Source organism: Homo sapiens, chromosome 3 (assembly GCF_000001405.40).
Source record: "Homo sapiens chromosome 3, GRCh38.p14 Primary Assembly".
NCBI classification, from domain to species: domain Eukaryota; kingdom Metazoa; phylum Chordata; class Mammalia; order Primates; family Hominidae; genus Homo; species Homo sapiens.
Window position 1 is genome coordinate 27,816,538 of NC_000003.12, and position 21,488 is coordinate 27,838,025.

Here is a 21,488-nt window from a genome sequence, read left to right on the forward strand (position 1 = left end):
CCACACTGTCTTCTGCAATGGTTGAACTAATTTACACTCCCACCAACAGTGTAAAAGCATTCCTATTTCTCCACATCCTCTCCGGCATCTGTTGTTTCCTGACTTTTTAATGATTGCCATTCTAACTGGGATGAGATGGCATCTCGTTGTGGTTTTGATTTGCATTTCTTTAATGACCAGTGATGATGAGCTTTTTTTCGTAAGGTTGTTGGCTGCATAAATGTCTTCTTTTGAGAAGTGTCTGTTCATGTCCTTCACCCACTTTTTGATGGGGTTGTTTATTTTTTTCTTGTAAATTTGTTTAAGTTCTTTGTAGATTCTGGATATTAGCCCTTTGTCAGATGGATGGATTACAAAAATTTTCTCCCATTCTGTAGGTTGCCTGTTGACTCTGATGGTAGTTTCTTTTGCTGTGCAGAAGCTCTTTAATTAGATCCCATTTGTCAATTTGGCTTTTGTTGCCATTGCTTTTGGTGTTTTAGCCATGAAGTCTTTTCCCATGCCTATGTTCTGAATGGTATTGCCTAGGTTTTCTTCTAGGGTTTTTATGATTTTAAATCTTACATTTAAGTCTTTAATCCATCTTGAGTTAATATTTATATAAGTTTCTGTAAGGAAGGGGTCCAGTTTCAGTTTTCTGCATATGGCTAGCCAGTTTTCCCAACACCATTTATTAAATAGGGAATCCTTTCCCCATTGCTTGTGTTTGTCAGGTTTGTCAGAGATCAGATGGTTGTAGATGTGTGGTGTTATTTCTGAGGCATCCGTTCTATTCCATTGGCCTATATATCTGTTTTGGTACCAGTACCATGCTCTTTTGGTTACTGTAGTCTTGTAGAATAGTTTGAAGTCAGGTAGTGTGATGCCTCCAGCTTTGTTCTTTTGGCTTAGGATTGCCTTGGCGATGCGGGCTCTTTTTTGGTTCCATATGAACTTTAAAGTAGTTTTTTCCAATTCTGTGAAGAAAGTCATTGGTAGCTTGATGGGGATGGCATTGAATCTGTAAATTACCTTGGGCAGTATGGCCATTTTCACGATATTGATTCTTCCTACCCATGAGCATGGAATGTTCTTCCATTTGTTTGTATCCTCTTTTATTTCCTTGAGCAGTGGTTTGTAGTTCTCCTTGAAGAGGTCCTTCACATCCCTTGTAAGTTGGATTCCTAGGTATTTTATTCTCTTTGAAGCAATTGTGAATGGGAGTTCACTCATGATTTGGCTCTCTGTTTGTCTGTTGTTGGTGTATAAGAATGCTTGTGACTTTTGTACATTGATTTTGTATCCTGAGACTTTGCTGAAGTTGCTTATCAGCTTAAGGAGATTTTGGGCTGAGACGATGGGGTTTTCTAGATATACAATCATGTCGTCTGCAAACAGGGACAATTTGACTTCCTCTTTTCCTAATTGAATACCCTTTATTTCCTTCTCCTGCCTAATTGCCCTGGCCAGAACTTCCAACACTATGTTGAATAGGAGTGGTGAGAGAGGGCATCCCTGTCTTGTGCCAGTTTTCAAAGGGAATGCTTCCAGTTTTTGCCCATTTAGTATGATATTGGCTGTGTTTGTCATAGATAGCTTATTATTTTGAAATACGTCCCATCAATACCTAATTTATTGAGAGTTTTTAGCATGAAGGGCTGTTGAATTTTGTCAAAGGCCTTTTCTGCATCTATTGAGATAATCATGTGGTTTTTGTCTTTGGCTCTGTTTATATGCTGGATTACATTTATTGATTTGTGTATATTGAACCAGACTTGCATCCCAGGGATGAAGCCCACTTGATCATGGTGGATGAGCTTTTTGATGTGCTGCTGGATTCGTTTTGCCAGTATTTTATTGAGGATTTTTGCATCAATGTTCATCAAGGATATTGGTCTAAAATTCTTTTTTTGGTTGTGTCTCTGCCCGGCTTTGGTATCAGAATGATGCTGGCCTCATAAAATGAGTTAGGGAGGATTCCCTCTTTTTCTATTGATTGGAATAGTTTCAGAAGGAATGGTACCAGTTCCTCCTTGTACCTCTGGTAGAATTCGGCTGTGAATCCATCTGGTCCTGGACTCTTTTTGGTTGGTAAACTATTGATTATTGCCACAATTTCAGCTCCTGTTATTGGTCTATTCAGAGATTCAACTTCTTCCTGGTTTAGTCTTGGGAGAGTGTATGTGTCGAGGAATTTATCCATTTCTTCTAGATTTTCTAGTTTATTTGCGTAGAGGTGTTTGTAGTATTCTCTGATGGTAGTCTGTATTTCTGTGGGATCGGTGGTGATATCCCCTTTATCATTTTTTATTGTGTCTATTTGATTCTTCTCTCTTTTTTTCTTTATTAGTCTTGCTAGCATTCTATCACTTTTGTTGATCCTTTCAAAAAACCAGCTCCTGGATTCATTAATTTTTTGAAGGGTTTTTTGTGTCTCTATTTCCTTTAGTTCTGTTCTGATTTTAGTTATTTCTTGCCTTCTGCTAGCTTTTGAATGTGTTTGCTCTTGCTTTTCTAGTTCTTTTAATTGTGATGTTAGGGTGTCAATTTTGGATCTTTCCTGCTTTCTCTTGTGGGCATTTAGTGCTATAAATTTCCCTCTACACACTGCTTTAAATGTGTCCCAGAGATTCTGGTATGTTGTGTCTTTGTTCTCGTTGGTTTCAAAGAACATCTTTATTTCTGCATTCATTTCGTTATGTATCCAGTAGTCATTCAGGAGCAGGTTGTTCAGTTTCCATGTAGTTGAGCGGTTTTGAGTGAGATTCTTAATTCTGAGTTCTAGTTTGATTACACTGTGGTCTGAGAGATAGTTTGTTATAATCTCTGTTATTTTACATTTGCTGAGGAGAGCTTTACTTCCAAGTATGTGGTCAATTTTGGAATAGGTGTGGTGTGGTGCTGCAAAAAATGTATATTCTGTTGATTTGGGGTGGAGAGTTCTGTAGATGTCTATTAGGTCCGCTTGGTGCAGAGCTGAGTTCAATTCCTGGGTATCCTTGTTGACTTTCTGTCTCGTTGATCTGTCTAATGTTGACAGTGGGGTGTTAAAGTCTCCCATTATTAATGTGTGGGTGTCTAAGTCTCTTTGTAGGTCACTCAGGACTTGCTTTATGAATCTGGGTACTCCTGTATTGGGTGCATATATATTTAGGATAGTTAGCTCTCCTTGTTGAATTGATCCCTTTATTATGTAATGGCCTTCTTTGTCTCTTTTGATCTTTGTTGGTTTAAAGTCTGTTTTATCAGAGACTAGGATTGCAACCCCTGCCTTTTTTTGTTTTCCATTTACTTGGTAGATCTTCCTCCATCCTTTTATTTTGAGCCTATGTGTGTCTCTGCACGTGAGATGGGTTTCCTGAATACAGCACACTGATGGGTCTTGACTCTATCCAATTTGCCAGTCTGTGTCTTTTAATTGGAGCATTTAGTCCATTTACACTTAAAGTTAATATTGTTATGTGTGAATTTGATCCTGTCATTATGATGTTAGCTGGTGATTTTGCTCGTTAGTTGATGCAGTTTCTTCCTAGTCTTGATGGTCTTTACATTTTGGCATGATTTTGCAGCGGCTGGTACCAGTTGTTCCTTTCCATGTTTAGCGCTTCCTTCAGGAGCTCTTTTAGGGCAGGCCTGGTGGTGACAAAATCTCTCAGCATTTGCTTGTCTGTAAAGTATTTTATTTCTCCTTCACTTATGAAGCTTAGTTTGGCTGGATATGAAATTCTGGGTTGAAAATTCTTTTCTTTAAGAATGTTGAATATTGGCCCCCACTCTCTTCTGGCTTGTAGGGTTTCTGCTGAGAGATCCGCTGTTAGTCTGATGGGCTTTCCTTTGAGGGTAACCCGACCTTTCTCTCTGGCTGCCCTTAACATTTTTTCATTCATTTCAACTTTGGTGAATCTGACAATTATGTGTCTTGGAGTTGCTCTTCTCGAGGAGTATCTTTGTGGCGTTCTCTGTATTTCCTGAATCTGAACGTTGGCCTGCCTTGCTAGATTGGGGAAGTTCTCCTGGATAATATCCTGCAGAGTGTTTTCCAACTTGGTTCCATTCTCCCCATCACTTTCAGGTACACCAATCAGATGTAGATTTGGTCTTTTCACATAGTCCCATATTTCTTGGAGGCTCTGCTCATTTCTTTTCATTCTTTTTTCTCTAAACTTCCCTTCTCGCTTCATTTCATTCATTTCATCTTCCATCGCTGATATCCTTTCTTCCAGTTGATCGCATCGGCTCCTGAGGCTTCTGCATTCTTCATGTACTTCTCGAGCCTTGGTTTTCAGCTCCATCAGCTCCTTTAAGCACTTCTCTGTATTGGTTATTCTAGTTATACATTCTTCTAAATTTTTTTCAAAGTTTTCTACTTCTTTGCCTTTGGTTTGAATGTCCTCCCGTAGCTCAGAGTAATTTGATCGTCTGAAGCCTTCTTCTCTCAACTCGTCAAAGTCATTCTCCATCCAGCTTTGTTCCGTTGCTGGTGAGGAACTGCGTTTCTTTGGAGGAGGAGAGGCGCTCTGCGTTTTAGAGTTTCCCGTTTTTCTGTCCTGTTTTTTCCCCATCTTTGTGGTTTTATCTACTTTTGGTCTTTGATGATGGTGATGTACAGATGGGTTTTTGGTGTGGATGTCCTTTCTGTTTGTTAGTTTTCCTTCTAACAGACAGGGCCCTCAGCTGCAGGTCTGTTGGAATACCCTGCCGTGTGAGGTGTCAGTGTGCCCCTGCTGGGGGGTGCCTCCCAGTTAGGTTGCTCGGGGGTCAGAGGTCAGGGACCCACTTGAGGAGGCAGTCTGCCCGTTCTCAGATCTCCAGCTGCGTGCTGGGAGAACCACTGCTCTCTTCAAAGCTGTCAGACAGGGACATTTAAGTCTGCAGAGGTTACTGCTGTCTTTTTGTTTGTCTGTGCCCTGCCCCCAGAGGTGGAGCCTACAGAGGCAGGCAGGCCTCCTTGAGCTGTGGTGGGCTCCACCCAGTTCGAGCTTCCCAGCTGCATTGTTTACCTAAGCAAGCCTGGGCAATGGCGGGCGCCCCTCCCCCAGCCTCGCTGCCGCCTTGCAGTTTGATCTCAGACTGCTGTGCTAGCAATCAGCGAGACTCCGTGGGCATAGGACCCTCCGAGCCAGGTGCAGGATATAATCTTGTGGTGCGCCGTTTTTTAAGCCTGTCCGAAAAGCGCAATATTCGCGTGGGAGTGACCCGATTTTCCAGGTGAGTCCGTCACCCCTTTCTTTGACTCGGAAAGGGAACTCCCTGACCCCTTGCACTTCCCAAGTGAGGCAATGCCTCGCCCTGCTTCGGCTCACGCATGGTGCGCGCACCCACTGACCTGGGCCCACTGTCTGGCACTCCCTAGTGAGATGAACCCGGTACCTCAGATGGAAATGCAGAAATCACCCGTCTTCTGCGTGGCTCACGCTGGGAGCTGTAGACCGGAGCTGTTCCTATTCGGCCATCTTGGCTGCTCCCCGGAAGTTTCTTAATGCATTTAAAATATTATTTGCTTGGCCATCATTTTTAAGAAACAACTATTGTAAAAATTAAGATGCTCTTTTATCAATGAATGATGATTGTTTTCAACCAAGAGCTCTAGGCAGAAATTAAGTTGGAAATAAGATCAACACTACCATTTGTATAGGGCATTTATGTTTTCTTGGGCTGAAGTTTTTAAAATCTTCTTTAAAACCCTCAGAATAATGGGTAGCCTTTGTGATGCCCACCTTACCTTACTCTCAGCAGTGTTATGGAGTAAAGTTAGGTTTTTTTTTTTTTTTTTTTTTTTTTTGTCAAATGTGTCTAATGGTCTAACCAATATGTACATTCTCCCTTGTAAAGACCCCAGCTGCCCAACTACATTTCCCATCCTGGGTTCCCTTATATCCCTGTAACTACTCCCCACCATGAAATGTGAGTGGAAGGGATGGGTATCACATATGGGTTGAAGTTTTTAAGAAGCGGGTGTGCCTTCTGCATTCTTTCCTCTTCTGCCAAAGGCCCCAAAGTTCTACGAGATGGTTAAGGTGACCAACTGTCCTGGTTTGCCCTGGACTGAGGGAGTTTCTGGAATGTGGGGCTTTCAGTTTCAAAACTGGGACAGTCCAGGAAAACGGGGGATTTACTGGTCACCCTAAGAGACTTTTATGGGTGTGAAACAGGACTTTTATGTCCCATATGGGACTTTTATGTAATTGTGAAATAAGCCAGGAAAATTTTGAAGTTAATTCGTTGCTACTTACTAGCTTTATCCTAACTAATACAGATTGGAATTACTACTCAGGAAGTGGCCTTGTTCAGATAGACACATGTCAATGAGAGGATATCAAAAAGCAGAAATGCTGGCTCTCGTCCTCAGCAGCTCCATGATCTAGAATGTATTGTTGGCCTAATCTTCTAGTTGGAGTAGATTAATGGTTCTCAAAGCATGGTGTGAGAATCCACAGGGTTCCCTAAGATCTCAGGGTGTCCATGAGGGCAAAACTATTTTCATAACAGTGGCAGATGTTATTACCTTTTCATTCTCATGCTATTAGGAGTGTGCAGTGGGATTTTCAAGAGGCTACACGAGGTGTGATGATGTCATGGATCTGGTGGCTGATGGACTATGTGTTTGTGAATTATTGTGTTTTAAAATTGTCTTGGTCTTAATTTCTAATATGGTCAATATTAATAGATGTAACTCACACTCCAAAAACTCTTCAGGGTCATTAATGATTTTTAAGAGTGTAAGAACTCCTGAGACCAAAAAGTTTGAGAACTGTTGATGTGAATAATTTCTAAGGTTTTGTATATTTCTCAAAGTTTGTGAATTAGTACTCATATATACCCAAGCCAGCTACAGAACTTTCTTTTTTTTTGAGATAAGGTCTTGCTGTGTTGCCCAGGCTGGAGTGCAATAATGGCACACTGCAGCCTAGAGAGCCTGGGCTCAAGTAATCCTCCTACCTCAGCCTCCTGAGCAGCTAGAACTCCATGCATGCACCCCCATGCCCAGCTAATTTTTTTTTATTTTTTGTAGAGATGGGGGTCTCATTATGTTGCCCAGGCTGGTCTGGAACTCCTGGCCTCAAGAGGTCTTCCTGCCTCAGGCCCCCAAAGTACTTACAGGTGTGAGCCACCATGCCTAGCCTCATTACAGAATTTTTAAGTTGATATGTCTTTCATTATTTTTCCATCTCTATCTCTATTTTTTTGTGTGTGTTCTATCTCTCTTTTTTTTTGAGACTGAATCTCACTCTGTCACCCAGGCTGGAGTGCAGTAGCATGATCTTGGCTCACTGCAACCTCTGCCTCCCAGGTTCAAGCAATTCTCCTGCCTCAGCCTCCTGAGTAGCTGGGATTACAGGCGTGTGCCACCATGCCAGGCTAATTTTTGTATTTTTAGTGGAGGGGGTTTCACCATGTTGGCCAGGCTGGTCTCGAACTCCTGACCTCAGGTGATCCACCTGCCTGTCTCAGCCTCCCAAAGTGTTGGGATTACAGGCATGAGCCACCACAGCCAGCCACTTTTTTTTTTCCATCTTAAGCTGTGGTGGGGATAAAAAATGTTTTGGAATCTATTATTAAAAGATCTCTTTCCAGAAAAGTATAGACACTTCCTGTTTTATATATTAGGAATTATACAGAGTTATTCCCCTTATGATATGGGACGGTTGCCTTAAACAAATCATAAAGTAGCAAAAATTAAAGTATATTTTTTCCCTTCAGAGGAAGGACATTTTGCCGTTTCAGACAAGTAAATCTGACAATTATGTTTCCAGCAACCTTAGAGAAATAGCTGTTGTGCTCACCCAGGGTTCTGGATAAAGATGCTTAGTGTACTTTCCTTGGAAGCAAATCAAATGCAAATTTGGTTGTGTCTCTCTCTTGCTTAGACGCTTTCAGTAGCTTCCCTTGGGTCCTTAGGATAAAGCCCCAACTTATTCAAAGTCCTTTCAGGTCTTCACCTGCACACTCCCTACCCTGGTCTCCCTTCTGTGTGTTTTCTGTCTGGTTCTCTTTACTGAACCTCACAAGGGCTGACAGACGTGAACCCTGTTTCAGTTTCTGCTTAAAAGCCTTTTCTCCAGCCTGATTTATAATCTCAGTGCACCTATACTTCTAACACCTCAGAAACTCACTTGTAATTCTCTGTTCCAGGATGCCCACTGGATCCAAAGAGAGAAACTCTATAGAATTATGATCTAGGTTTGACTGACTCCTGGCAAGAAGCCCTACCCGCCAGCCAATTTGGATGAGGTGAGGGCTTTTTCTTATCCCGCAAAGGAGATGTGCAACATGCTGCTCAGGCTTTTGAAGAAATGACTCAGAAAAGGGCTGTCCTCATAGCCAAATAACAAAATGTTTACTGAAAATGCAAAAGTGAAGTCATCAAATACCTGAATTCACTGGACATTGGTAAATTTAGAAAAAGCCAAGATCTGTCATCTATTCATACACACACACACACACACACAGACATACACACACAGACACACACACACAGACACACACATACACAGACATACACACACACAGACATACACACACACACACACACACACGCACAAACACGAACACCAGAGATCAATTCAAAATCCAGATTGTCATTTGAGGAATGTATAGTTGCTAATTTATTTTGACAAATTCATGGAGTTGATTTAAATTATTTATGATAATGCTTCACAGTATATTTTATAAAAGTAATGAAAGTGTAATTTTAAAAACGTTCTTGGCTTTTACACTTTTCTTGGGGAGAAATGAAATAATGCTATTTTTTTCTTTTAAAAAGCATTGAAACACCAGAACTTATGGAGTGAAAATATGAAGGAAGTCTGTTTATATTTTAGGAAATATATATACTTCTACAAACAAACCTAGTAGAATATCTGACACAAAAACCGTACAGGCCTCTCCCAGCTCCTTATATGAACTCAGCTGCTGGTGAATGAGGAGATAATTCACCCATCTATATACATAAATTTCTGGATAATAATAATGATAATGGTAATTGGCATTTACTAAGCTCTTACTGTGTTCTGAACACCTTATTTGCATGATATCTTTGAATGCTTATAACATTCTAGAAGGTAGGTGCTGTATTGTTTCCGATTTATAAATAAGAAAATTGAGCCACAGAGAAGTTAAGTGACTTACCCAAAGTCACACAGCAACAAAGATAAAATTCAAAATGATGTAGGCTTACTTCATAGCCTAGTATTCTTTACTCCTAAGCCATACTGGGTTGTACAGTAATTGCTAAAGGAACAAATTTCAAAGTCTTCCTTGTAGGTAACCTTTCTTTCTATTTGTACAAAGGATTATAAACTGTAAGAAGTTTTATGGCATGTTGAATTAGCTCAGTAGTTCAATTGTAAGAGTTTCTCATTAATTATTTAAAGCTATTCATTTTTATTAGGAGTACCAGAGCTAGACTCAGGACAAACCTCTATTTCATTCAATTCAATTTAGCTCAATTTAGTTCATGTTATTGAATATACATTACATGCTGGGTTTGGGGAGGGAAGATTGTAACTGTAATTAGAAAGGTATTATCTCTGCTTTCTAGGAACACAGAATCACTTGTGGAATTAAGAGATAAGGACAGCAAGTAGACCAAACTATAAGCTGAGGTTCAAGGTGGCATAGGCTGGGTGCCACAGTGCTGTGTCTCAGGTGGGCTAGAAGTGCGAAACGGACAGTACCAGAAGGAAAACTTGAGGGTAAACTTGGGTTTTTTACCATTCCCAGCCTTAGGAGGCCAAAGGCTGAACAAATACTTGTCAAATGAATGATTAAGATCCCTTAAGGTACTAAGTAGGATATGAAAAAAATTCGTGGAGAAGAAAGCATTTGAAGTGAATATCTTTAAATTTTAGGGGAGAAGAGCATTACATTCTGAGATTGCAGGATATGCAGAGGGCAGATGCTTAATATAAAAGTGCTTAAAATGATGATGGCAGAAGCCTGCTGAATGATGTGGAATAAAGAAGTATGTGATAATGATTATGACTTGACTAACATCTATTATACATCTCCATTGTGCCAGCTGTTTTCAAGGGCTTAATCTTATTTGCTCTGCAGAAATTCAGTTTTGGTGGTAGACATAAAGGTGCAACCTTGTTCTCCCTTCAAAGAGAAAGTGCTTCCCAGCTGTAGGGGGTGTGGTCAGCATACAGCCTCTGTTCAGCTCTCAGCTCCTTCAGAGTTGGCCTAGGCAGCAGACAGGCACCTGGCCCATAATTGTGCCCTTTTTAGGGAAAGCCCATGTCCCATAATTGAGGAAGAGATATAGAGGTCAGGTCATTCCCACCCAACATAGACAGACTCTGTAGGGTTTTGTTTGCTCCTGAGCTCCCTCCAGGATTGGCTATGGCACTGTTAGGCTTTCATTGCTCCCTTCCCTTCCCATCACAGCTCAATTCCTAATCAATGTCTTGCTTAGTTTAGAGTCTGCTTCCAGAAAACCTAATCTGCAAGACCGTTAATCTCCCACATTGACAGGCTGGAAACTGGAACACTGAGAGTCGATGCATTTCCCCAAGGCCACACAACTAGTGAATAGCAGAGCCAGGTTTTAAATTAAGATTCATTTAACTTCTAATTGAGGTTCTCCTCAGAACCCCACACTGGCTACAGGACCAACCTGTATTTAGCCAAAGTTGCATTCTCGCACATGCACACATCAACAGGAATCTCTCCACTTGTCGGCCCAGATAGATGTTTTCTGTCAGGAGAGCTCTGAGTCATCTGTGCCCCCTAGAGGAAGCCAAAACTCTAGGTCATCTGTGCCCACTCTTGGCTTGATTACCCCTATCAATCTTTCAAGTCTTAATTCCTAAATCAAAATTAAGTTTTCTGGTTACAAGCTTTCGTAGTACCTGTCATAGCACTGGACACAATTTGCAATCACATATTTATTTTCTCCTGTTTGTTTGCTCCACTAGGCTATAACTTCAGGAGGGCATGGATTATGTTTGTTGAGTTTAGCACTAACTTCCTAGCACTTTCCCATACTTTTGGGTGTGATAGGAGCTCAATGTACATTTATTAAAGGGCTGAGTTAAGGGTGTATGATAAATCCTGGGTACTTATCTCAGTCAATATTATTTCTAGTTTTCTTCTCTTATGGAACTATATAAGATATTCACAAAAATATCATTATATTATGGCAGATATTAATTATTATGATTATGATTGTTTTTAGGCTCACACCATACCTTAGACCATTTTCAAATGACCAAGTTGGATGGTCAAAAATTAATAACTTACTCGGAAACTGTCCTTATATTTTTTTGCTGAAGTCATGTTTAATTTTCTTCAGGAGAGATCTTGATCCTAAGACAATGCTGACATTTCCCAAGAGTGGGAATTCCATGAGCTTTCTCAGATGGCTGCCCCAATGTCTGGAAACCTCTTGAAGGTGATCTCTATCATTTTGTCCACCTAGATATTTGATTCATAAACTCATTCTTTAAAACCAAAGTCATGGGTGGCACCCTTTGACCTCGTTAAAGCTCATAAATCTCCCCTTTGTGAAGATTTTTCATCTTGAAATGTGGCAAAGGTGTGAACTATTGAAGAGGTGTTCTCTTGAACATTTGCCCTACAAACTCACCCAATAGAAAACCAGATTCAGGCATTTCCGACATGGGTCACTTCTCAGAAAGGCTATTTCAACTTCACTCTATATTATGAAGATTTTATAGACTTCAGTTATGCAGACTTTTTAGCTTTTTCATTTTCAGACTAGTCCGACTTGTTTTTTTATAATTTTAAATGTATTCAAAAAAGTCATATTTTCAGACATCATATGTGTTTCCATTTGTGAGTTTTTCTGGTGTATAGAGATTATGAAATTCAAGTGGGAGGGAAAATGTTTGTTGAAGGCTCATTCTTCTAGAGTTGCTCTAAAACCAAATTTAAACTAATCTCTAACAGTTGTGACTTAGAATTAGAAAACTCAGTCTTTAGGCTCTGTTGTCTAACAGCTGTGTGTGTTTCTACAATTTACTTAACTGCTGAATCCAGTTTTTTGTTTTGTAAGATAGGAATAATAATTCCTGTTAGTGACCTAGTAGGAATGTATTAGAGAATTAAGTGAGAAACGGCAAAATCCCTTCTGAACCCCAATAAACATAAGCTACTTTTATTACCGATCTTTTTTTGGATCTTTTTGTTAGATATGAGTTCTAAATTTCTTTTCAAAGAATTAATATGTCAGTATGTTCAATTCTTTGCCGTCTACTTTTAAACTTAACTTCCTCGTAAAGCAACCTTTTTCAATCACCTGCTCCACCCTACACTCCAATCACCTGCTCCACACTAACTCATTCCAATTACCTGCTACCTGCTCTGCCCTGATTCCCGCCAAAGCACTCACCCCGTCATTCTCTTTAAATTAGCCAATCGGAATTAGTTTAGCCTGTGTGGTCTAACCCTAGCCAATAGGGGAAGGACACATTAGGGGCCACGTGCGTCAGGGATAAGAACCCCTTCCCCTCCCTTGTCCAAGTGTGCACTCACCATTGTTTCATCTGTAAGGGCGCAACTTTCTATATAGAAGTAACTTGCCTTGCTGAGAATTAAAAAGAAAATTTTATATTCGAGTGCTCTTTCTTTTGTGGCACCGAAACTTTATATATAACATTTTCTGAACAATGTTGTAGCAATGCTATTGGTACCCACCCCCCTCATATTCCCTGGAGCTTTACTATTGTAGTGCCCACAGGCCCATCTCTAATTACCAGCATTTGCCTCTCTTTGCGCAAGGACTTACTCTGACAGCCAGCTTCTGGTATATGCTCACAAAAAGCAGGCTGAAACCAGAGAATTAGCATGCCCAGATCAGTCTACAACCAATGACTGAAGGAAGTTGGTATATAAATACCTTGGCTGCCCTGTCCATCAGATGGGATTACACTGAGGCTTATAGTCTACACTGGATCTCAGTTTCCCTAGAGCTATTAAGCTGCAGGTGCCCACAGTGACAACCGGCTCAATTATACACCATTTTTGGCTTCCTGAATCATTTATTGGCTTTATTCCATTCCACTTTCTGATTTACTTCTCCACTTTCTAACTGATATTTCCTGGAATTACCTTTCAAGTTAACTACTTGTACTTGAATTCTTGTCTCAGGCTTTGCTTCTGAGGGATTCCCAAACTAAGACAGTGTTTATATGAATTACAATTGTTTTGCATGGAAGTGATATACACTTACTTTAACTCAACAGAGCTTAGATCCGAACAAAGAAAAAATCAGTTCATTGACTTATATTAATGCAATGTCTAAAGATGACAGAATCTTATTTAAGAATGGCTAGATACAGGAAACTTATACAATGCCATTGACTTTTTTTTCTCTCACTCTCTGTCTCTCTGTTTTTCTCTCTCCCTCACACACACACACACACACACACACACACCCCTACCTGTTTTCCTCTATGTACTTATTTTAGGATAGAAAAGATGGTGCTGTAATGTCACTCTAAGCTTACATTGCCTCTACAGCATGAAATAGCTGAGAAAGTAAAATTGTCTTTTGTTCATATCCATATCAATTCCAGAAAGAGTCTCAAATTGTCAGTATTTTCAATGTATGCTGACCTCTAGAAAAAATGACTGGGTCCAGGTGGCTGAAATATGCTAGGTGGTCATGCCAGGGAAGGTGACAACTCTAGCAGAGCTATATGAAATATGCGGGAGTGAGCTTGACTTTAAAATGATAAGTGCAGCAACAAGCATCCCACAAAGTAAAAAATACTATCTAGTGTTTCCATCCTTTTTTTTTTTTTTTTTTTTTTTTTTTTTTTTTTTTTTGAGACGGAATTTCACTCTTTTTGCCCAGGCTGGAGTGCAATGGCATGATCTTGGCTCACAGCAACCTCCGCCTACTGGGTTCAGCGATTTTCCTGCCTCAGCCTTCCAAGTAGCTGGGATTACAGGCATGTGCTACCACACCTGACTAATTTTGTATTTTTAGTAGAGACGGCGTTTCTCCATGTTGGTCAGGCTGGTCTCGAACTCCCAAAATCAGGTGATTCGCCCATCTCAGCCTCCCAAAGTGCTGGGATTACAGGTGTGAGCCACCACGCCCTGCTGTTTCCATCTTTTTTTTAATGATATCTTACATTTTTGGACCTTTTCATCTCAACAGAAGCAATTACTAATATAATATCACAGTTGGACCAGTGACTCCTTTCCCAGGTTCAGAATCGATGGATCAGATGTCATCATACTATAATGGAGGGACAGGCAAATAATATACTCATTAAATAGTAAAAATAGTGGTTACTGTTTGTCAAACACACATAGCATAAGTTCTAAATTCCATGCTAGGTATTTTACAAAGGTGATTCTACTTAAATCCCAGAAACAAACCCTGCGACTAGTCATAGGTGTGACTAGGATTTTTATTTAATGAATGAAGAAACTAAAGCTTAGTGAAATTAGAGACTTGCTGAAGGTTTTCTTTTTTTTTGCTCGTTGATTGAAGAGGCAATATTTGCATCCAGGTCTGTGTAGTTCAAAACCCATTTCTTAGCCACCTTGCTGCGTTGCCAGCTTGAAGCACTGGTGCTTTGAGAACATTGCTTTTGGTGGACTTATTCTAATACTCATCTGCCCTTAGGTTCCTTTGCATTCATTTTTTGGTGGAACATTCGGAGTCAATGAAAGCAATTTGAACTCTAGGAGAAGATCAACTCTTTCCTTCAAATCTCATACTTCAGGTTGCAGACTTTTTGGTTCACACTAAATCCTTGCGATCTGAGAACCTGAAAACCTTACACTCAGAATCAATGGGCCTAGAAAAACCTTTTTATCTAGCTGTAGCACAACCAGAGCTAACTAAGTTACCATATTGGTTGTCCTTTTCCAGTTAGCCTAATGAAGTCTCCTGATGGAGTAGGCAATAGATCAGACCGGATTTAATGAAAACAGAATTAATTCATGGAGTTGTTTCATCAGCTTTCCAAGACCATCTCTCTCACTCGGACTGTAGGCAGCAGTTCTAAATATCTGGCACTCTGTAAAAAATAACTCTATTTGCATTCTTTTTATACACTTTGAGATTTTGTTATTATTTAAAGATATAAGAGGTAACTGAAGTGTGAATCTAATTATCTTCATGATCAGTTGACAAATGAATTACCCACATAGTTGAAAGTGCTAAATTCTCTCATTGGTTTGCCAAATATTGATTACTCTCTTTTTTGTATGTCAGACACTATCCTAGGTGCTGGGGACATAGCAGTGATCCAGATGGAAACAAGTTGCCCCACAAATAAATATATAATTACATATTATGATAAGAATTAGAAGAGAGTTTAACAGGCAGACTTGTATCAGTCAGGCTCCAGTGAAGAAAAGAGAAAAAACTCTAGGTATTTTAAGCAGGATATGGATTAATTCAAGGAAGAGGATGTTTGTAAAACTCTTTTGAAGGGCTGAAGAGGCAGTTTAATCCTGGGTCTTCAGGGGTATTTCTCAGAACACTGCAGAGCTGGCCCCCCTGGGGAGCTCCCATATGGAACTTTGCAGGTCAAGAACACACTGCCACTTGCTTAAATTCTCTTATTGAAACTGTGTCTGAACACCTGGGTCGCTACAAAATGGATATCCAAGGCTGTGATTCATGATTTAGCAAGCCAGTCAACATGCCACGATTGCCACTAATGCCCCTGCACCCACTAAGTTCATTCTCAGGAATTTGAAAACTGGCACAGTACAGAGAAACCTCATGTTTCCATGATAGTGCTTGCTAGTAGAAACTGCCAGGTGGAACCACATTAGCATCCAGACCCTTAGCTGCAAGGGAGTCAGTAGTGCAGTTAGTAGCATTCTATCCTCTTCAAATAGGAGGAGAGTGGAATGGAGAGTGAGTGAGATGATCTACAATGTCCAGCACAGGATGTTGATTGAGTTTGAAGCTGGTGAAGACTTCTTTCAGGTAGTAATATTTCAGCTGAGACACAAAAAATGAGCTGAAGGACAGCAGCCAAGGAGTTCAGTGTGCTCCACATGGAAGGAATAACATGAGAAAAGGCCTTGCATTGGGAAGGTGTTTGGTGTGTTTGCACAGCTGGATGGGAGAGTGGTGGGGCAGAATTAGTCAGAAGGAATGGTACACAGCTGGAGAGGTGGGAAGGACCTGGTGTGTAGGCTCTTCTTGATCATGTTAAAGACTTAGGATTTTTCTATAACTGCAATAGGACCATTTAAGTAGGGGAAGAAATCAATCTGCTTTATATTTATAAAGGTTACTCTTGCTGATGTCTGACAACAGTTTAAAAGATGGTAGTTTAGAGGAGGGTGTTTTCAGTGGAGGTATTGGAGAGGAATGGAGTAATAGGAATTACATTTTGGAGGCAGAGCTAATAGGACTTGATGTTAGGCCAGTTGAAACAGAGGCAGGGGTAGGGAAGAGAAGCACCCAAGCATGGCCCCTGAGTTTCCCATGTGAGTACGTGGATGGGATGTTCATACCACAAAGTGCAATTGGTAAGATGCATAGAACATGTTCTGTGGCAAGATCAATATTCTGTTGGACATATTATGCTTGAGATGCCCCTGAAACATCCAAAAGGAGATTTCCAGCCTGTCTAGAAATGCATGCATGTCTAGATAATGATTGGTATGAACATGCAGGTGGACCTTGGGGAAGCCAGAGTGAAAAACAGGTATAACCTAAATGAGTCAGTGCAGCAAGGATTATGCATTAATCTACTCCAAAAGGAAAAAAAAATCTAAAGGTAGTACAGATGTAACTGACCACACAGTAGTAGTAGTAATAGTTCTTGTTTTTCCTCTTGCCTCTTTGTTCTCCTCTTCCTGTTTCCCCCTTTTCCTTCCGTCTCTTCCTCCTCTTCTTATTTCTCCTTCTTTTTCTCTCTTCCTTCAAAACATTCTTCTACGTTAATCTTCAGGCTGTTTCTTTTATTTTGAGCACAACCTCAACCTGTAAGAGCTTCCACAAAAAGAATTATTCTAAACTTTTAAATTGTGCTGATTCTTTGGAGGGTTGTTTTGTCAGGTAAAAGTTACATTGTTATCTGTTTTATCTTCATTTCTTTTTCTGGTTTGAGAGAGAACTGAGGAAAAGAACAAGATATTGTGTAGATTATTTTTCTTCTGGTCTTTGGGGCAAGCCAAGATCTTGGTTATAAAGAAGTACAGAAATCAGCAACAGTAATATTTGGAGTGAGGGATGTGTGAGCTGACTTTACATACAGGCCTTTTTTAAATGGAAAGAGTCAACAAAATAGAGAGCAACTTGGAAGGGGGAGAAAAAACAAACTGAAACAAAACAAAATTGCTAAGCAGAAGAGCCAAATATGATAGAAGATGAGTGACAGCTAATTAACACTTTCCATTGATTTTATAGAAGACAAAGTTTCTGTATAAAAAAATGTGGAAATTTGCAATTAAGTAGAATAGATTGGAGAGGAGAGAGAGAGAGAGAAATGGAGCAAGAACATTGAAAAATAAATATCATCCTGAAACTTGCCTTTCAGTAAAATTGAAAGGGGCCTCTCCATAGGTTGTCTGGACTTCCTCACAGCATGGTGGCTGGGTTTCAAGAACAACCATCCCAAGAGAACCAGATAGAAGCTGCATTCCCTTTTGTGACCTTGCCTCTGAAAACACATAATGTCAATTCTCCCATAGTTACAGGTACACCCAGATTTAAGGCAAAGGAACAAAGACCTTACTTCACAATGAAAGGAGTTTTAAGGCATCATTGAAAGAAGATCATGGGAGATAGGAAATACTGTTATGGCCATTCTGGAAAATATAGTTTACCACACTATCCAGAAACAGGGTGCTCTTTTTATTTATTCAAGTCTTCTGTTGTGTCTCTCTATAGATTTTTAGATTTTGTTCACAGAGATTGGGCAAATCTTATTTTCTTTTTTAATTTTTAAATTTTTAAAAAACTTTTAAGTTCAGGGGTACATGTGCAGGATGTGCAGGTTTGTTACATAGGTAAACGTGTCATGGAGGTTTGTTGTACAGATTAATCACTCAAGTATTAGGCCTAGTATCCATTAGTTATTTTTCCTGATTCTCTCCCTCCCCACACCTTCTGCCCTTTGGTACGCCCCAGTGTGCATTGTTCCCCTCTATGTGTCCATGTGTTCTCATCATTTAGCTCCCACTTATGAGTGAGAACATACGGTATCTGGTTTTCTGTTGCTGCATTAGTTTGCTAAGGATAATGGCCTCCAGCTCCATCCATGTCCCTGTAAAGGACATGATCTCATTCCTTTTTATGGCTGCATAGTATTCCATTGTGTAGGTGTACCACATTTTCGTTATCTGATCTGTTATTATTGGGCATTTAGGTTGATTCCATGTCTTTGCTATTGTGAATAGTGTTGCAAAAAAATATGTGTGCATGTGTCTATATAATAGAACAATTTATATTCCTCTGTGTATATACCCAGTAATGAGATTGCTGGGTTGAATGGTATTTCTGTCTCTAGGTCTTTGAGGAATTGCCACAGTCTTCCACAATGGTTTAACTAATTTACACTCCCACCATCAGTGTAAAAGTGTTCCTTTTTCTCCACAACCTTGCCGGCATCAGTAGTTTTTTGACATTTTAATATATAATTATAGCCATTCTGATGGGTGTAAGATGATATCTCATTTTGATTTTGATTTGTATTTCTCTAATAATCAGTGATGTTGAACTTTTTTACATATGATTGTTGGCTGCACAGATGTTTTCATTTGAGATGTGTCTGTTCATGTCCTTTGCCCACTTTTAAATGGGTTTGGTTTTTTTCTTGTAAATTTGTTTAAGTTCCTTTTGGATATTGGATATTAGACCTTTGTCAGATGCATAGTTTGCAAAAATTTTCTCCTATACTGTAGGTTGTCTGTTTACTCTGTTTAAATAGTTTCTTTAGCTATGCAGAAGCTCTTTAGTTTAAGTAGATCCCATTTGTCAATTTTTGCTTCTGTTGCAATTGCTTTTAGTGTCTTCATCATGAAATCTTTGCCCGTACCTGTGTCCAGAATGGTATTGGCTAGATTTTCTTCTAGGGTTTTTATAGTTTTGGGTTTTACATTTAAGTCTTTAATCCATCTTGAGTTTATTTTTGTATATAGTTTAAGGAATGGGTGCAGTTTCAATTTTCTGCATATAGCTAGCCGGTTCTCCCAGCACCATTTATTAAATAGGAAATCCTTTCCCCATTGCTTGTATTTGTCAGGTTTGTCGAAGATCAGATAGTTGTAGGTGTGCAGTTTTATTTCTGGGTTCTCTATTCTGTTCCGTTGGTCTATGTGTCTGTTTTGTACCAGTACCATGCTGTTTTGGTTACTGTAGCCCTGTAGTATAGTTTGAAGTCAGGTAGTGTGATGCTTAGAGGGCACATTTTAAATAGGGTATTTAGAGTTATGATGTTTCATTTGGTGCTATTGTCATGAGAACATTTTCTTTAATTGCATTTCCTAACTGATTATTGCTTGTACAGAAAAGCTAAGGTATTCATGTGCTAATTTTGTAGCCATTCACATTAGTAAATGTCCTGGGGAAGTACCAATTTGAAACATTCCTCAGTTACCAGGTCATAATGTGTTTGTGGTAAATTTTTACTGTCTTGTGACAAAGTTTCAATAGTTTACTCAAACCCAAAATACAACAGAAATAGAGAATCTTTCTTTTATTGTATCATTCACCAAAAGTGTCTCTGATTCAAACTTAGTAAATCTACTTTATCTTTGTATAAAACAAAGATATATACTTTGTCATAGATATATGCTATGCTTTCACAGATATATGCTATGACATGATGGAAGAAATAATTCTGCTTATGGACCTTTTGGGGAGCTTGTGCCTTTCAAGGTCTGCATTTTACAAAATATATGGAAGAGTTTGAAGTTGGCAATTTATTTTAATGTGGTCATAAAGCTAGATTGTAGAACATTGCTGAAGTTTCACATTGAGCAGATTCCATAGACCAAGACCTTTTTGGAATTAAAGGACAGTTTGAGACTCAACTTGCTGACTTGTTCTGGCTCAAAAACTATACCTCTTTACTGATAAAACTACAATTTTTACTGAACAAAGTAAACCTGAAGGCAGAACACTATTCTCAATCTGCAAAGAAGTAAGGGTGTTCAGATTCCAAATGAATCTATAAAGCAAATATCAATTTTTATTCTTCACTGGTAAAAAACTCTAAGCTCAATGGAATTACACTTACGTAAGGATTGCAGAGTGTATTACTGAGGGTTCTCCAGAGGGACAGAACGAATTGAATATATGTTTATATTGAAAGGAGTTTATTAAGGAGAAGTGACTCACATGATCACAAGGTGAAGTCCCATGATAGGCCATCTGCAAACTGAAGAGGTAGGAAGCCGTTAGTGGCTCAGTGCAAAAGCCTTAAAAGTGGGAAAACTTGACAATGCAGCCTTCGGTCTGTGGCCAAATTCCTGAGATCCCTGGGCAGACCACTGGTGTAAGTCCAAAAGTCCAAAGGCCGAAGAACCTGGAGTCTGATGTCCAAAGTAAGGAAGTATCCAGCATGGGAGAAAAATCAAAGCCAGCAGACTCAGCAAGTCAACTTATCCCTTCTTCTGCCTGCTTTGTTCTAGCCGGGTTGTAGCTGATTGGATGGTGCTGACCCACATTGACGATGGGTCTTCCTCTTGCAGTCCACCAACTCAAATGTTCATCTTCTCTGGCAACACCCTCACAGACACACCCAGAAACAATACTTTACCAGCTATCTAGGCATCCTTCAATCTAATCAAGTTGACACTTAATATTAACCATTGCACAGAACTACTTACAGGAAATGAAACCACAAATTTACAAGTAAAAGTGTGTAAACAAATACAGTTATGGCTGCCTTTGGAGTGCAAGCTTCAGGATGTTTCTGAAATATGTCTTGGCTTTGCAGTTAGCACTTACAACTAATATATTATATATATTTTGCTTATTTATTTTGTTTATTACTATTTTCCATTTTAACATTAGCTCAATGATTTTCATCTGGTTTTTAAAAATTCTATCTTCTCAGTACCAGATAATACCTAGCTTCCAGTAGGCATTCAATATGTATTTACTGACTGAATAATTCAATAGACAAATGAGATTGGAAGGTGTTTGAACTGAGACTGAGGTATCCACAACAGAAAGGCATATTATCTGTTGTTCTTTGGATGTGAGTATTGTGAGCTTTAAAGTTGTAATTCTACTAGATTCTGTGGAAGAACATTTTCTTTCACAAAATGAACTGAAGGTGAGAGTCACCATTAGTTGTGAAAATTTTGAGTTAGAATTGATGTATCTTAGTTGGAAGAAAAAAAAAAACCTGGAAAGAAATAGACCAACATTGACAGTAAAATGGATTGTGTGATTTTTTTATGCTCCTTCTTACTTTTCTGTATTTTACAAATTTTCAACAACAAAGATGAACTACTTTTGAAGACAGAACAAAAACAAAAAAGAAGTGGAAAACTATTGTGCCATTAAATTTGTTGTTGCTGTTGTTGTTTTGTGTTTTTTTGAGACA

The 21,488-nt window shown here is 39.4% G+C and overlaps 2 long non-coding RNA genes across 2 annotated transcripts in view, besides 3 other annotated features; one reads left to right on the forward strand and one right to left on the reverse strand.

The window, feature by feature from the left end:
- The window catches only part of LINC01980 (long intergenic non-protein coding RNA 1980), a 62,738-nt gene that overhangs the window by 18,950 nt on the left and 22,300 nt on the right, over positions 1-21,488 (forward strand). The window contains exon 3 of the long non-coding RNA NR_146630.1: positions 8,113-8,211. This is a non-coding gene — a long non-coding RNA (long intergenic non-protein coding RNA 1980). The remainder of the gene's footprint in view (positions 1-8,112; positions 8,212-21,488) is intronic.
- Positions 4,644-5,192: an enhancer, noted in NCBI's record as "NANOG-H3K27ac-H3K4me1 hESC enhancer chr3:27862672-27863220 (GRCh37/hg19 assembly coordinates)". NCBI's record gives its function as "activates a minimal SCP1, AML or CMV promoter by ChIP-STARR-seq in naive and primed H9 embryonic stem cells {active_cell/tissue: H9 hESC(naive and primed)}" and the evidence as "EXISTENCE:reporter gene assay evidence [ECO:0000049][PMID:30033119]".
- Positions 5,193-5,740: an enhancer, noted in NCBI's record as "H3K27ac-H3K4me1 hESC enhancer chr3:27863221-27863768 (GRCh37/hg19 assembly coordinates)". NCBI's record gives its function as "activates a minimal SCP1, AML or CMV promoter by ChIP-STARR-seq in naive and primed H9 embryonic stem cells {active_cell/tissue: H9 hESC(naive and primed)}" and the evidence as "EXISTENCE:reporter gene assay evidence [ECO:0000049][PMID:30033119]".
- Positions 5,752-5,952: a silencer, noted in NCBI's record as "peak4580 fragment used in MPRA reporter construct". NCBI's record gives its function as "represses an SCP1 promoter by STARR-seq MPRAs in K562 erythroleukemia cells {active_cell/tissue: K562}" and the evidence as "EXISTENCE:reporter gene assay evidence [ECO:0000049][PMID:32103011]".
- LINC01981 (long intergenic non-protein coding RNA 1981) lies at positions 14,349-17,599 on the reverse strand. The gene is made up of 2 exons (NR_132438.1): positions 17,462-17,599; positions 14,349-17,045 (listed from the first exon to the last, which is right to left on the reverse strand). It is a non-coding gene; the product is annotated as a long intergenic non-protein coding RNA 1981 (long non-coding RNA).